This window comes from Homo sapiens, chromosome 2, assembly GCF_000001405.40.
Source record: "Homo sapiens chromosome 2, GRCh38.p14 Primary Assembly".
Classification (NCBI taxonomy): domain Eukaryota; kingdom Metazoa; phylum Chordata; class Mammalia; order Primates; family Hominidae; genus Homo; species Homo sapiens.
In genome coordinates, this window is record NC_000002.12 from 61,593,914 (window position 1) to 61,606,053 (window position 12,140).

General features: G+C 43.1%; 1 pseudogene, besides 2 other annotated features; it reads left to right on the forward strand.

Annotated features, from left to right (window-relative positions):
• Nucleotides 2,786-3,350: an enhancer, noted in NCBI's record as "H3K27ac hESC enhancer chr2:61823834-61824398 (GRCh37/hg19 assembly coordinates)". NCBI's record gives its function as "activates a minimal SCP1, AML or CMV promoter by ChIP-STARR-seq in naive H9 embryonic stem cells {active_cell/tissue: H9 hESC(naive)}" and the evidence as "EXISTENCE:reporter gene assay evidence [ECO:0000049][PMID:30033119]".
• Nucleotides 3,915-4,480: an enhancer, noted in NCBI's record as "NANOG-H3K27ac hESC enhancer chr2:61824963-61825528 (GRCh37/hg19 assembly coordinates)". NCBI's record gives its function as "activates a minimal SCP1, AML or CMV promoter by ChIP-STARR-seq in naive H9 embryonic stem cells {active_cell/tissue: H9 hESC(naive)}" and the evidence as "EXISTENCE:reporter gene assay evidence [ECO:0000049][PMID:30033119]".
• On the forward strand, nucleotides 11,703-11,808 carry RNU6-1145P (RNA, U6 small nuclear 1145, pseudogene; annotated as a pseudogene).

Sequence of the window (12,140 nt, forward strand, 5' to 3'; positions counted from 1 at the left end):
ATGCAAATCAAAACCACAATGAGATACCATCTCATGCCAGTTAGAATGGTGATTATTAAAAAGTCAGGAAACAACAGATGCTGGCAAGGCTGTGGAGAAATAGGAAAGCTTTTACACTGTTGATGGGAGTGTAAATTAGTTCAACCATTGTGGGAGACAATGTGGCGATTCCTCAAGGATCTAGAACCAGAAATACCATTTGACCCAGCAGCCCTATTACTGGGTATATACCCAAAGGATTATGAATCGTTCTACTATAAAGACGCATGCACACATATGTTTATTGCAGCACTATTTACAATAGCAAAGACTTGGAACCAACTCAAATGCCCATCAATGATAGGCTGGATAAAGATAATGTGGCACATGTACACCATAGAATATTATACAGCCATAAAAAACAATGAGCTCATGTCCGTTGCAGGGACATGGATGAAACTGGAAACCATCATTCTCAGCAAATACAGGAACAGAAAACCAAACACCGCATGTTCTCACTCATAAGTGGGAGTTGAACAATGAGAACACGTGGTCACAGGAAGGGGAACATCACACATAGGTCGGGGGTAGGGGGCAAGGGGAGGGAGAGCATTAAGACAAATACCTAATGCATGCGGGGCTTAACACCTAGAGGATGGCTTGATAGGTGCGGCAAACCACGATGGCACATGTATACTTATGTAACAAACCTGTACATTCTGCACTTGTATCCCAGAACTAAGAGTAAAATAAAGAAAAAAAAGAGTGATCATATAATTTCTCAAACATTTAAAAAGCAGGCATAACACATAACAGGGTCTTTCCCAAACAAAACAGGACTTACGGTTACCTTATATGTAAAATGCCATTTTTTTTTTCTTTTTAGAGATAGGGACTTGTTCTGTCACCCAGACTGGAGTGCAGTGGCACAATCAGAGCTTACTGCAACCTCCACCTCTTGGGCTCAAGTGATCCCCCCACCTGAGTCTCCTGAGTAAATGGGACTACAGGTGTGCACCACTACGCCTGGATAATTTTTCTTGCTTTTGTAGAGACAGGGTCTTGCCATGTTGTGTGGGCTGATCTCTAACTCCCAGGCTTAAGCAATCCCCCTGCCTCAGCTTCCCAAAGTACTGGGATTACAAGCTTGAGCCACTGTACCTGGCCAAGGATGTATTTTTAAGTGAAAAAAGATGCAAAGTTCAAAACTTTTTAAGATGGTACGTTCTGTGTAAAAATGAGGAGAATTTTGCTTACATCTGCATAAGGAACTGCGGAAGCACACTCCAGAGAAACAAGGTAGAGTGCGAAATAGTGGGAAATCTTATGTTGTTTTTTTTTTTCTTTTTTGAGACAGAGTCACCCTCTGTCACCCAGGCAGGAGTGCAGTGGCACGATCTTGGCTCACTGCAACGTCTTCTTCCGGGGTTCAAGTGATTCTCCTGCCTCAGCCTCCTGAGTAGCTGGGACTACAGGTGCCTGCCACCATGCCGGGCTAATTTTTTGTATTTTAGTAGACACAGGGTCTCACCATGTTGGCCGGGCTGGTCTCAAACTCCTGAGCTCAAGCGATCTGAACATCTTGGCCTCCCAAAGTGCTGGGATTATAGGCCTGGCTGGAAATTTATGTATTCTATTTTTACTTTTTAAGATGGAGTCTTGCTCTGTTGCCCAGGCTGGAGTGCAGTGGCATGATCTCGGCTCACTGCAACCTCCGCCTCCCAGGTTCAAGCAATTCTTGGGTCTCAGCCTCCCCAGTAGCTAGGATTACAGGCATGCGCCACCACACCCAGCTAATTTTTGTATTTTTAGTAGAGACGGGGTTTTACCATGTTGGCCAGGCTGGTCTCGAACTCCTGACCTCAAGTGATCCACCCTCCTCGGCCTGCCACAGTGCTGGGATTACAGGCATGAGCCACCATGCCTGGCCTTATGTATTTTAGATTGTGAATGTATTATACTGGATGAAAAAAATTACTAGAGAAACTCTACAAATACAAGATTGAGGGGGACATCAAGGAATGACTGCTTAAAAAATAGCTGAGCATCGTGGTACACACCTGTAATTCCAGCTACTTGGGAGGCTGAGGCAGGAGGATCGCTTGAGCCAATGAGTTTGACGCTGCAGTGAGCTATGATAGTGCCTCTGCACTCCAGCCTGGTTGACAGAGCGGGACCTCATTTCTTAAAAAAAAAAAAAAAAAAATAGGCCAGGCGCGGTGGCTCACGCCTGTAATCCCAGCACTCTGGGAGGCCGAGGCGGGCAGATCACGAGGTCAGGAGATCGAGACCATCCTGCTAACATGGTAAAACCCCATCTCTACTAAAAATACAAAAAATTAGCCAGGCTTGGTGGCGGGCACCTGTAGTCCCAGCTATTCTGGAGGCTGAGGGAGGAAAATGTCATGAACCCGGGAGGCAGATCTTGCAGTGAGCCTAGATCATGCCACTGCACTCCAGCCTGGGTGACAGAGCGAGCGAGACTCCGTCTCAAAAAAAAAAAAAATAAAATAAAATAAATAAATAAATAAATAAAAATAAGCAACAAAAAAAATGAGTACCAGGATTCCAGTTGGGGTGATAAAAAAATTTCTGGAACTAGATAGTGATGGTTGGACAACATTGTATTTAAAGCCACTGAGCTGTACACTTTAAAATGGTAATCTGTATTTTATGTACATTTTGCCACAATAATAATAATAAAAATAATAACTAAAAATAAGTGCACAAAGGGCCGGGAACGGTGGTTCATACCTGTAATTCCAGCACTTTTAGAGGCCAAGGCAGGCAGATCACCTGAGGCCAGGAGCTCAATACCAGGCTGGCCAACATGGTGAAACACTGTCTCTGCTAAAAATACAAAAAATTAGCCAGGCCTGGTGGTGCATGCTTGTGATCCCAGCTACGTGGGAGGCTGAGGCATGAGAATCACTTGAGCTTGGGAGGCAGAGGTTGCAGCGAGCAGAGATCACGCCATTGACTCCAGCTTGGGCGACAGAGGGACACGCTGCCTCAAAAAACGATAAAAAATAATAATAAAAATAAGAGCACCAAACATACATACACATACACAAATATAGATTTGTTATCTTCAGACAGAAAGAATCCATCCTAGCCTAATCTATTATTTTGTAAATATCTCACTAATAGATTAAGGTGTGTCCACAAATCTCTTAAGCGAGCAGACAGGTTAAATTAGCTAGTATAGATAAAACTTAGTATTAGAAACATTCACAAGGGCTGGGCATGGTGGCTGACACCTATAATCCCAGCACTTTGGGAGGCTGAGGCAAGCAAATGGCTTAAGCCCAGGAGGTCTGAGGCTGCAGTGAGCCACTGCACTCTAGCCTGGGCAATAAATGGAGAGCCTGCTTTATCCGCCACTCCCCAACCCCCACAAAAGGAAAAAAAAAAAAAATCCACAGGTATATGACAAATGCAAACAGAAGTTTCAAGGTTTATAAAGAACCTTAAAAAAAAGAAAAGACTACGAAAGAGTCAGAATTTACCAGTTCTATTTGTACAGAAGAGGAAAGAAGTCATCGAAATGGAAATAGATCATGGCTGGGTCTGGTAGCTCACACCTGTAATCTCAGTACTTTGGGAGGCTAAGGCAGGTGGATGACTTGAGGCCAGGAGTTTGAGACCATGTTGGCCAACATGGCGAAATCTTGTCTCTACTAAAAATTAAAAAAACAAAAATAGATCCTGGTAGAAAAAGATAAAATAGTAGGCTATATTTATGTGACAGGACAGTTTTTTGTGATGTTAATTTATTAATTGTAGCAGTGTGTTTTGCTCACTACAGTATTTCTCAGCCCCCACACAACCCCGCTCGCCCCACTCTACACAGGTCCTTTGTGTCTAGGTCTTTTGTAATTCCCTTCCTAGGAATTTTGCAAGAGGGAAAGCCAATAGCCGCTTAAAGCCAAACGCTCTTCCGGTCTTTTGTAAAAGTGTTAAAACCAGTGGAGAAAGGGAGGGAAGAAAGAGAGAGCTATCTGCCTGGGAGAGGAATGAAGTGGGAGTGGGGAAGACAAGGAAGGGTCCTGGAGTCTCATGAACTTTATTACTATTTTGGGGACCCAGGGAGGGGTAAAGACTTTAGAGTGGATGCTGGTGTTTAGGACCTCAAGGTGTTCTGCTTGGGCAAAAATGCCCACACCCCATGGAATAGAGTACTATTGCATGGTAGGGGACCACATGGCCTAAGGCCGGGATTTTTGGGCATTACAGGCTAGAAATGTGAGCTCTTCTGGTATCCCAGGTACCACATAGGCTGCCCTCAACAGTGATTGATTATTACATTCCTATCACTTTAGTTGAATGGAAGCCCAAATTTGGGAATAAAAGTAATATTTTCTTATTTTACATATGTGCTAATATTCATACTCAATATATTAGCTTCCTATGAATATCTTTTTGGAAATTTGATTGTAGTAGGCAGAATAATGGCCTCCCAAAGATGTTCCTAGAATCTGTAGATATGCTGCTTTACATGGTGTTATAAATAAAGTTTCGGTGCCACAAAAGAAATAGCACTCGAATATAAAATTTTATTTTTAATTCTTAGCAAGGCAATGTACTTCTATAGAAGGGTGCGCCCTTACAGATGGAGCAATGGTGAGTGCACACTTGGACAAGGGAGGGGAAGGGGTTCTTATCCCTGACGCATGTGGCCCCTGCTGCTGCGTCATTCCCCTATTCGCCAGGGTTAGACTGCACAGGCTAAACTAATTCCGATTGGCTAATTTAAAGAGAGTGACAGGTTGAGTGGTTTGGTGGGAAAAATTGTTATGGCAGAGCAGGAAATTGGAATGAGTCAGGGTGGAGAATGAGTCAGGGTGGAGAATGAGTCAGGGCGGAGCAGGTAATCAGAAGAGTCAGGGTGGAGCAGGTAATCGAAAAAGGTTGCTTCACAAGGAAGTTAAGTTTAAAAGTAGAAGGCAAAGAATTGAACATACTGACATATTAATTCTTTGAAGAGAAATTTAGAACTCATATCTAACAATGGTAAAGAGACTTTACAGATGGCATTAAGAACCTTCATGGTCTTAATGGGGAGATATAGTTCAAAGGGTACAAAGCTACAGTTATGTGGGATGATAAATCTAGAGATCTAATATACAGCATGAAGACTGTAATAAATAATATTGTATACTGGAAGGCTGGTAAGCAATAGATTTTAGGTGACCTTACCACAAAAAAAAAGGTAAGTATGTGAGATGACGAATATGTTCATCAGCTTGACTATTGTTATCACTTTATTATGTATATGTATATTGAAACATCATGTTGTACATCATAAATACATACAACAAAAATAAATATTAACGGCCGGGTGTGGTGGCTCATCCCAGCACTTTGGGAGGCTGAGTGGGCAGGATCACTTGAGCTCAGGAAGTTCAAGACCAGTCTGGGCAACATAGTGAAATCTTGTCTCTACTAAACATTTTTAAAATTAGCTGAGTGTGTTGATGTGTGCCTGTAGTCCCAGCTATTCTGAAGGTTGAGGAGGAAGGAATGCTTGAGAGCCCAGGAAATCGAGGTTGCAGTGAACTATGATGATGCCATTACACTCCAGCCTAGACAACAGAGCCAGACTCTGCCTTTCCGCCCCCTCCCCCTCCCCTGCAAAATGTATATACAAACAAAAACAGGCTAGGTACGGTAGCTTATGCCCATAATCCCAGCGCTTTGGGAGGCAGAGGTGAGTGGATCATCTGACGTCAGGAGTTCAAGACCAGCCTGGCCAACATGGTGAAACCCCGACTCTACTAAAAATACAAAAAAGTTAGCTGGGTGCAGTGATGCGCACCTGTAATCCCACCTACTCGGGAGGCTGAGGCATGAGAATTGCTTGAACCCAGGAGGTGGAGGTTGCAGTGGGCTGAGATCGTGCCATTGCATGCCAGTCTGGGTAACAAAGTGAGACTCCGTCTCAAGAAACAAAAACAAAGCAAAATAATAAGTAAGAGCAGTGGCTTAAGCCTGTAGTTCCAGCTACTTGGGAGGTTGAAGCAGAAGGATCCCTTGAGGCCAGGAGTTTGAGACTGGCCTGGGCAACGTAATGAGACTGTCTCTAAAAAAAAAAAAATTAAAATTAATAAATAAAGGCAAGTGTGTGTGTGTGTATTCATATATATATGATTCATATATGTGTGGATTCATATATATGTATATCTATCTATCTATCTATCTATCTATATATATATACACACACACATATATATATGAATTCAAGATGGGTAGGGGGTTATCCTATATCATTCCAATAAGAATAATTTAATAACAAGGGTTTTGTTTGTCTGTTTGTTTTAAGACAGGGTCTTGTTCTGTCGCCCAGGCTGGAGTTCAGTGGCATGATCTTGGCTCACTGAAACCTCTGCCTCCCGGGTTCAAGCAATTCTCCTACCTCAGCCTCCCAAGTAGCTGGGACTACAGGCGTGTGCCACCACACCCAGCTAATTTTTGTATTTTTAGTAGAGACGTGGTTTCACCATGTTGGCCAGGATGGTCTTGAACTCCTGAACTCAAGTAATCCACCCGCCTCGGCCTCCCAAAATGCTGGGATTGCAGGTGTGAGCCACCGCACCTGGCCATAACAAGGGTTTTTAAAAGCAGATGAATTAAGGAAAAGTGGAGATCGGACAGATGTGATATATAATAAGAAGGACTCAAGGCTGGCTTTGAAGATAGGGGAAGAGGCCATGAGCTAGGGAGTGTGAGGGCCTGAGAAGCTGGGAAATGAAAGAAGCTGAGAGCCTCCAGAAAGGAACACAACCCTACCAACATCTTGATTTTAGTCCAGTGAGAATAAAATCAGACTTCTAACCTACATGGCTGTAAAAGAGTAAATTTACCCAGGCTTGCGAGGTCTGAGGAAAACAAGAAGAAAAAAAAGTAAATTTGTTCGTTGTTAGCCACTAAGGTTATAGTAATTTGTTACAGCAGCAATAGATCATGAGCACATGGTTATGGAGCCAATTCCTTTCTATCTTCTTGTCTCTGCTCACTAGAAATGTCTTTATCCGTAATTTGGTTTTCATTAGAAGGATAGTAGCGTATATAAATGGCCACTCCCACTGCAAAATAAGAACACATTCTGGTTTGTAAATCATCCTTGGGAGGTTTTGGTTAACATGATTCAGTCCCTTAAGTCTGAGCATGGTGTCATTTCTGGAAATTTTAAGATGCCACTCAGGTAATGGGAATGTACCAAATTGAATTTCTGACCCTACCTGGTGGTACATTGACCCATCTTGTGAAGATCAGCTAGCTGGTTCGTTCCACCTTCAGCGATGACATTTTCTACTTGCAAATACCAAATGCCAGATGAACACATGTAAAGGATGTTAACAATACAAGCCAGAAAAATAATAAGGGCCAAAAAAAGTGCAGAGTAAAAGCTATTCAGAAAAATTTGAAGGAGAGCTCTCAAAGTCTTCTGATAGGGAGGACCTGAGAAGATTGCAAGGGAAGGAGGACTTAAATTAGGCATTTATACGAGTAAAACACCAGAGGCAAATGCAGTTAAGGCAGAAGAGATTAATAAAAGATTGAAAGGGCAGATTGAAATTATCTTCTGTGGGAATGTGATGGTTGAGGAATTTGGATTGGGCAACCAGGAGCTAACAAAGGTTTTAGGGAAGGATCACGATGAAAAGTTTGGGGAGATATTCACCTAGATCTGTGGGTTCTGTGAACTAGGCTAGCACTTAAATACAGTCTGAATTCAAACATGAAATGCAAAAAGACAACAGGGATTATCTGGGAGAATGAAGGACATGCTTTTGGTCTTTATTGCTCAAACCATGTCATGGCTAGATGTTCCTCTCAATTTGTGTTGAATAGATAGGATTTCTGTCACATTAGAGTATGAAGAGCATGAGAGTAAACAGTGCCCTCTGAAAAGGAAAATCTTTTAGCTTGAGCAAATTTATTTTTATTATTTATTTATTTTTTGAGACAGAGTCTCACTTTGCCACCCAGGCTGGAGTGCGATGGCATGATCTCAGCTCACTACAACCGCTGCCTCCCAGGTTCAAGCCATTCCCCTGCCTCAGCCTCCCGAGTAGCTGGGACTACTGAAGTGCACTACCATGTCTGGCTAATTTTCGTATTTTTAGTAGAGACAGGATTTTGCCATGTTGGCCAGGCTGGTCTCGAACTCCTGACCTCAGGTGATCCACCCACCTCGGCCTCCCAAAATGCTGGGATTACAGATGTGAGCCACCACACCCAGAATTTTTTTTTTAATTTAAAGGTTAAGGATGCACCGTGACATAGTCTCAGGAGGTCCTGATGACCTGTGCTGAGCCAATTTTAAAAGGAGCTCAAATTCTGAGGCCTGCAGGTTTACTTATTCCAGTGCTTCAGAGGCTAAAGTCCCTCTGGATTCTTAGCTGCATACAAATATTTATTTTGAAATTGAGCAAATTTGTAGAAAAATCTTGTGCCGAGTACTAGTCTCTAAATTATTTATGACTCCAAATTTTCTGCCAGTCTTGACTGTGGTCTGACCATAGATTTTATTTTATTTACTCGTTATTTATTTATTTATTTTTTGGAGACAGAGTTTCGCTCTTGTTGCCCAGGTTGGAGTGCAATGGTGCAATCTCGGCTCACTGCAACCTCTACCTCCCAGGTTTAAGTGATTCTCCTGCCTCAGCCTCCCGAGTAGCTGGGATTATAGGCATGTGCCACCACACCTAGCTAATTTTTTTTTTTTTTTTTTTTTTTTTTGAGACAGAGTCTCGCTCTGTCACCCAGGCTGGAGTGCTGTGGCATGATCTCAGCTCACTGCAAGCTCCTTCTCCCGGGTTCACGCCATTCTCCTGCCTTAGCCTCCCAAGTAGCTGGGACTACAGGCACCCGCCACCATGCCCAGCTAATTTTTTTTTGTATTTTTAGTAGAGACGGGGTTTCATCGTGTTAGCCAGGATGGTCTCGATCTCCTGACCTCGTGATTTGCCTGCCTCAGCCTCTCAAAGTGCTGGGATTACAGGCGTGAGCCACCGCATCTGGCCAATTTTTTTTTTTTTTTTTTTGAGACAGAGTCTCACTCTTTAACCAGGCTGGAGTGCAGTGGCACGATCTTGGCTTACTGCAACCTCTGCCTCCCGGGTTCAAGTGATTCTCCTGCCTCAGCCTCCCGAGTATCTGGGACTACAGGGCACACCACCACACCCAGCTAATTTTTGTATTTTTAGTAGAGACGGGGTTTTGGGCAGGATGGTCTCGATCTCTTGACCTCCTGATCTGCCTCGGCCTCCCAAAGTGCTGGGATTACAGGCGTGAGCCACCGCACCCGGTCAGCTAATTTTTGTATTATTAGTAGAGACAGGATTTCACCATGTTGGCCAGGCTGGTCTCGAACTCCTGACCTCAGGTGATCCACCACCTCTGCCTCCCAAAGTGTTGGGATTACAGGCATAAGCCACCGTGCCCGACCAAAATTTCTATGTATTAAGATAATACATGTACTTAAAAAAAATAGATATGTACTGTCCCACAGATCTGAGGCACCACAGTTTGCTTAGTTATCCCTTATTGTAGGCCATTTTGTTTGTTGGTTCATTCATTCATTAGTGGTAAAACTACCCAGGCTTTGTGCTCATTCTCAGCATGTGGACATAAGTTATAGCTCTTGCTGTCAAGGAATATATAGTCTAGGAGAGACAGATGTGGAAAACAAGTATAGTACAGTTATATATAATCAAGATGAACCTCAGTGTTCCAGGAATATCTACCATGCTCCAGTTCTTCCTGAGAGATTACACATTCCCCACCTCACTGACAATGGCAGTGAGCCCGGGACTAGGTTCCTTTCCCAGGGGGCTGTGAGCATCAAGGCTATGGGGAGGAGCACTGGCACTGTTAGGCAGAGGCTGCATTTGACACTTCTGGAGGGTAACCAAGGGTGATGGGTGCCAAATCTCCTACGACCAGGGGTCTCCTATTGCACTGACACTGCTGCAACTCAGTTTCAGCCGGAATTTGGCTGACTAGTGAATAGGCGCTGAGTTCTGAGATGGAGGTTCTAGTAATCCCCTAGGCCAGCCTCCAGTCAGCTGTGAAGGTGGTGGGGAGAAAAGGAGGCCAGATCATGCCAGGCCCAAACAGGGCTGTCAAGGGCAACAGGAGATATGGTATGGCAGGCATGATAGATACCTTCTGGGTATCTGAGTGATGAATAGATGGAGGTGGGAATGAAGGTGGATTTTGGTATTTTCTTAGAATGAAAGACAGCTGAGAATCTGCACATATAGGGTTGCCTAAAATACAAGACACTTGGTTATATTTTAATTCTAGGTAAACAACAAATTTTTTCTTAGGCTGGGTGCAGTGGCTCATGCCTGTAATCCCAGCAACTTTGGGAGGCTAAGGTGGGTAAATCACCTGAGGAAAGGAGTTTGAGACCAGCCTGGCCAACATAGTGAAACTCTGTCTCTACTAAACATACAAAAATTAGCTGGGCATGGTGGCAAGCGCCTGTAACCACAGCTACTGGGGAGGCTGAGGCAGGAGAATCACTTGAACCTGGGAGGTGGAGGTAGCAGTGAGCTGAGATTGAGCCATTGCACTCCAGCCTGGGTGACAGGAGCGAAATTTCATCTTGGAAAAAAAAAAGAAGAAAATATTATGTATTTAATGGCATTGTATGGTACCCATTGTTTTTTCATTTTACAATATATCCTGAATATTTTCTGGGTTACTCACCAGTCTACTCATATCTTAATGGCTACATGTTACATTGATGCACTGAAATAAAAAAAATCTCCCTTATAGAATAGTTGTTTCTTCTTCGTGGAGTTTTAAGATACAAATTAATCACACAATACTTAGAGGTGATCTATATTTACTAAAATCCCATTTAAAAAATTTCAAAAGCAGTATTTTGAAAAATAGGATAAAATAATCTTATTGCCCTAACACAATTCTCTGGCAATGTAGCTCTCTCTCTCTCTCTCTCTCTCTCTCTCTCTCTCTGTGTGTGTGTGTGTGTGTGTGTGTGTGTGTGTGTGTGTGTATTTAGGTTAGCTCTAGTTGCTAATGCAGTTGAATTATGTTACCTGGATACCTCTTGGAGAACCTGAGGTCATTTTGGCCTGATGCATTAATATTTAACAAGCCTGTGATTGATGGATTGATGCTAGCAAAATTAATTCAATCCACCTAGGTTTCTATCTGTTGGTAAAACAACAAGGCCATCCAGGGGTTAGAAAGCAAAGACTTCTGGGAGGAAACGATTGAAAGTGGTTGTGACCTCTAGAATCTGGAATTGGGTACCAGCTCCTCCATTGACCTTCTTTCACCTTTGTTCTCAGAAAAATGTCTCTTGATTGGCTGCTGATGGATTGGGTTGCCTCCATCCCTTATCTTTAACTAAAGTCTTGAACTCTCAGTAAATTAATAGACTGGCAGAGAAAACCCCTTTTTAGTTAAGAAGTACTGTAGTGTGAAAACTCTGGTCTTAGATATGGTGTTTAGTATGCATTGCAGATAATTAGTGTATCAGATATATGGATTGACTGAATATTCTGCTGAATTGACTAAATTGGTCTGTGTCATTCCCCAGTGACGTGGGGCCACCGTTCCTCTCTCACCTCTTTGCCTTTGGGTTCTGTTAAAGGAGGGTATTCTGGCATCATTCCCCATGCCACAGATGGGTGGGTTTGCAATCCATGGATCTCTTTTTGACGTAAAAAACATCAGCTCTGGTGCTTGCTTTGGCAGCACATATACTAAAATTGGAACGATACAAAGAAGATTAGCATGGCCCCTGCACAAGGATGACATGCAAATTCATGAAGCATTCCATATTTTTCCAATTAAAAACAACCGGCTGGGCGCGGTGGCTCATGCCTATAATCCTAACACTTTTGAAGGCCAAGATGGGCAGATCACTTGAGGCCAGGAGTTCAAGACTAGCCTGGCCAACATGGTGAAACCCCATCTTTACTAAAAATACAAAAAAAAAAAAAAAAAATTAGCCAGTCGTGGTGGTGGGTGCCTGTAATCCCAGCTACTTGGGAGGCTGAAGCAGGAGGATCACACCACTGCACTCCAGCCTGGGCAACAGAAGGAGACTCCATCTAAAAAAAAAAAAAATTAAAACAAACAAACCATATTAACTCTGGGATGTGGGCCACACCTTA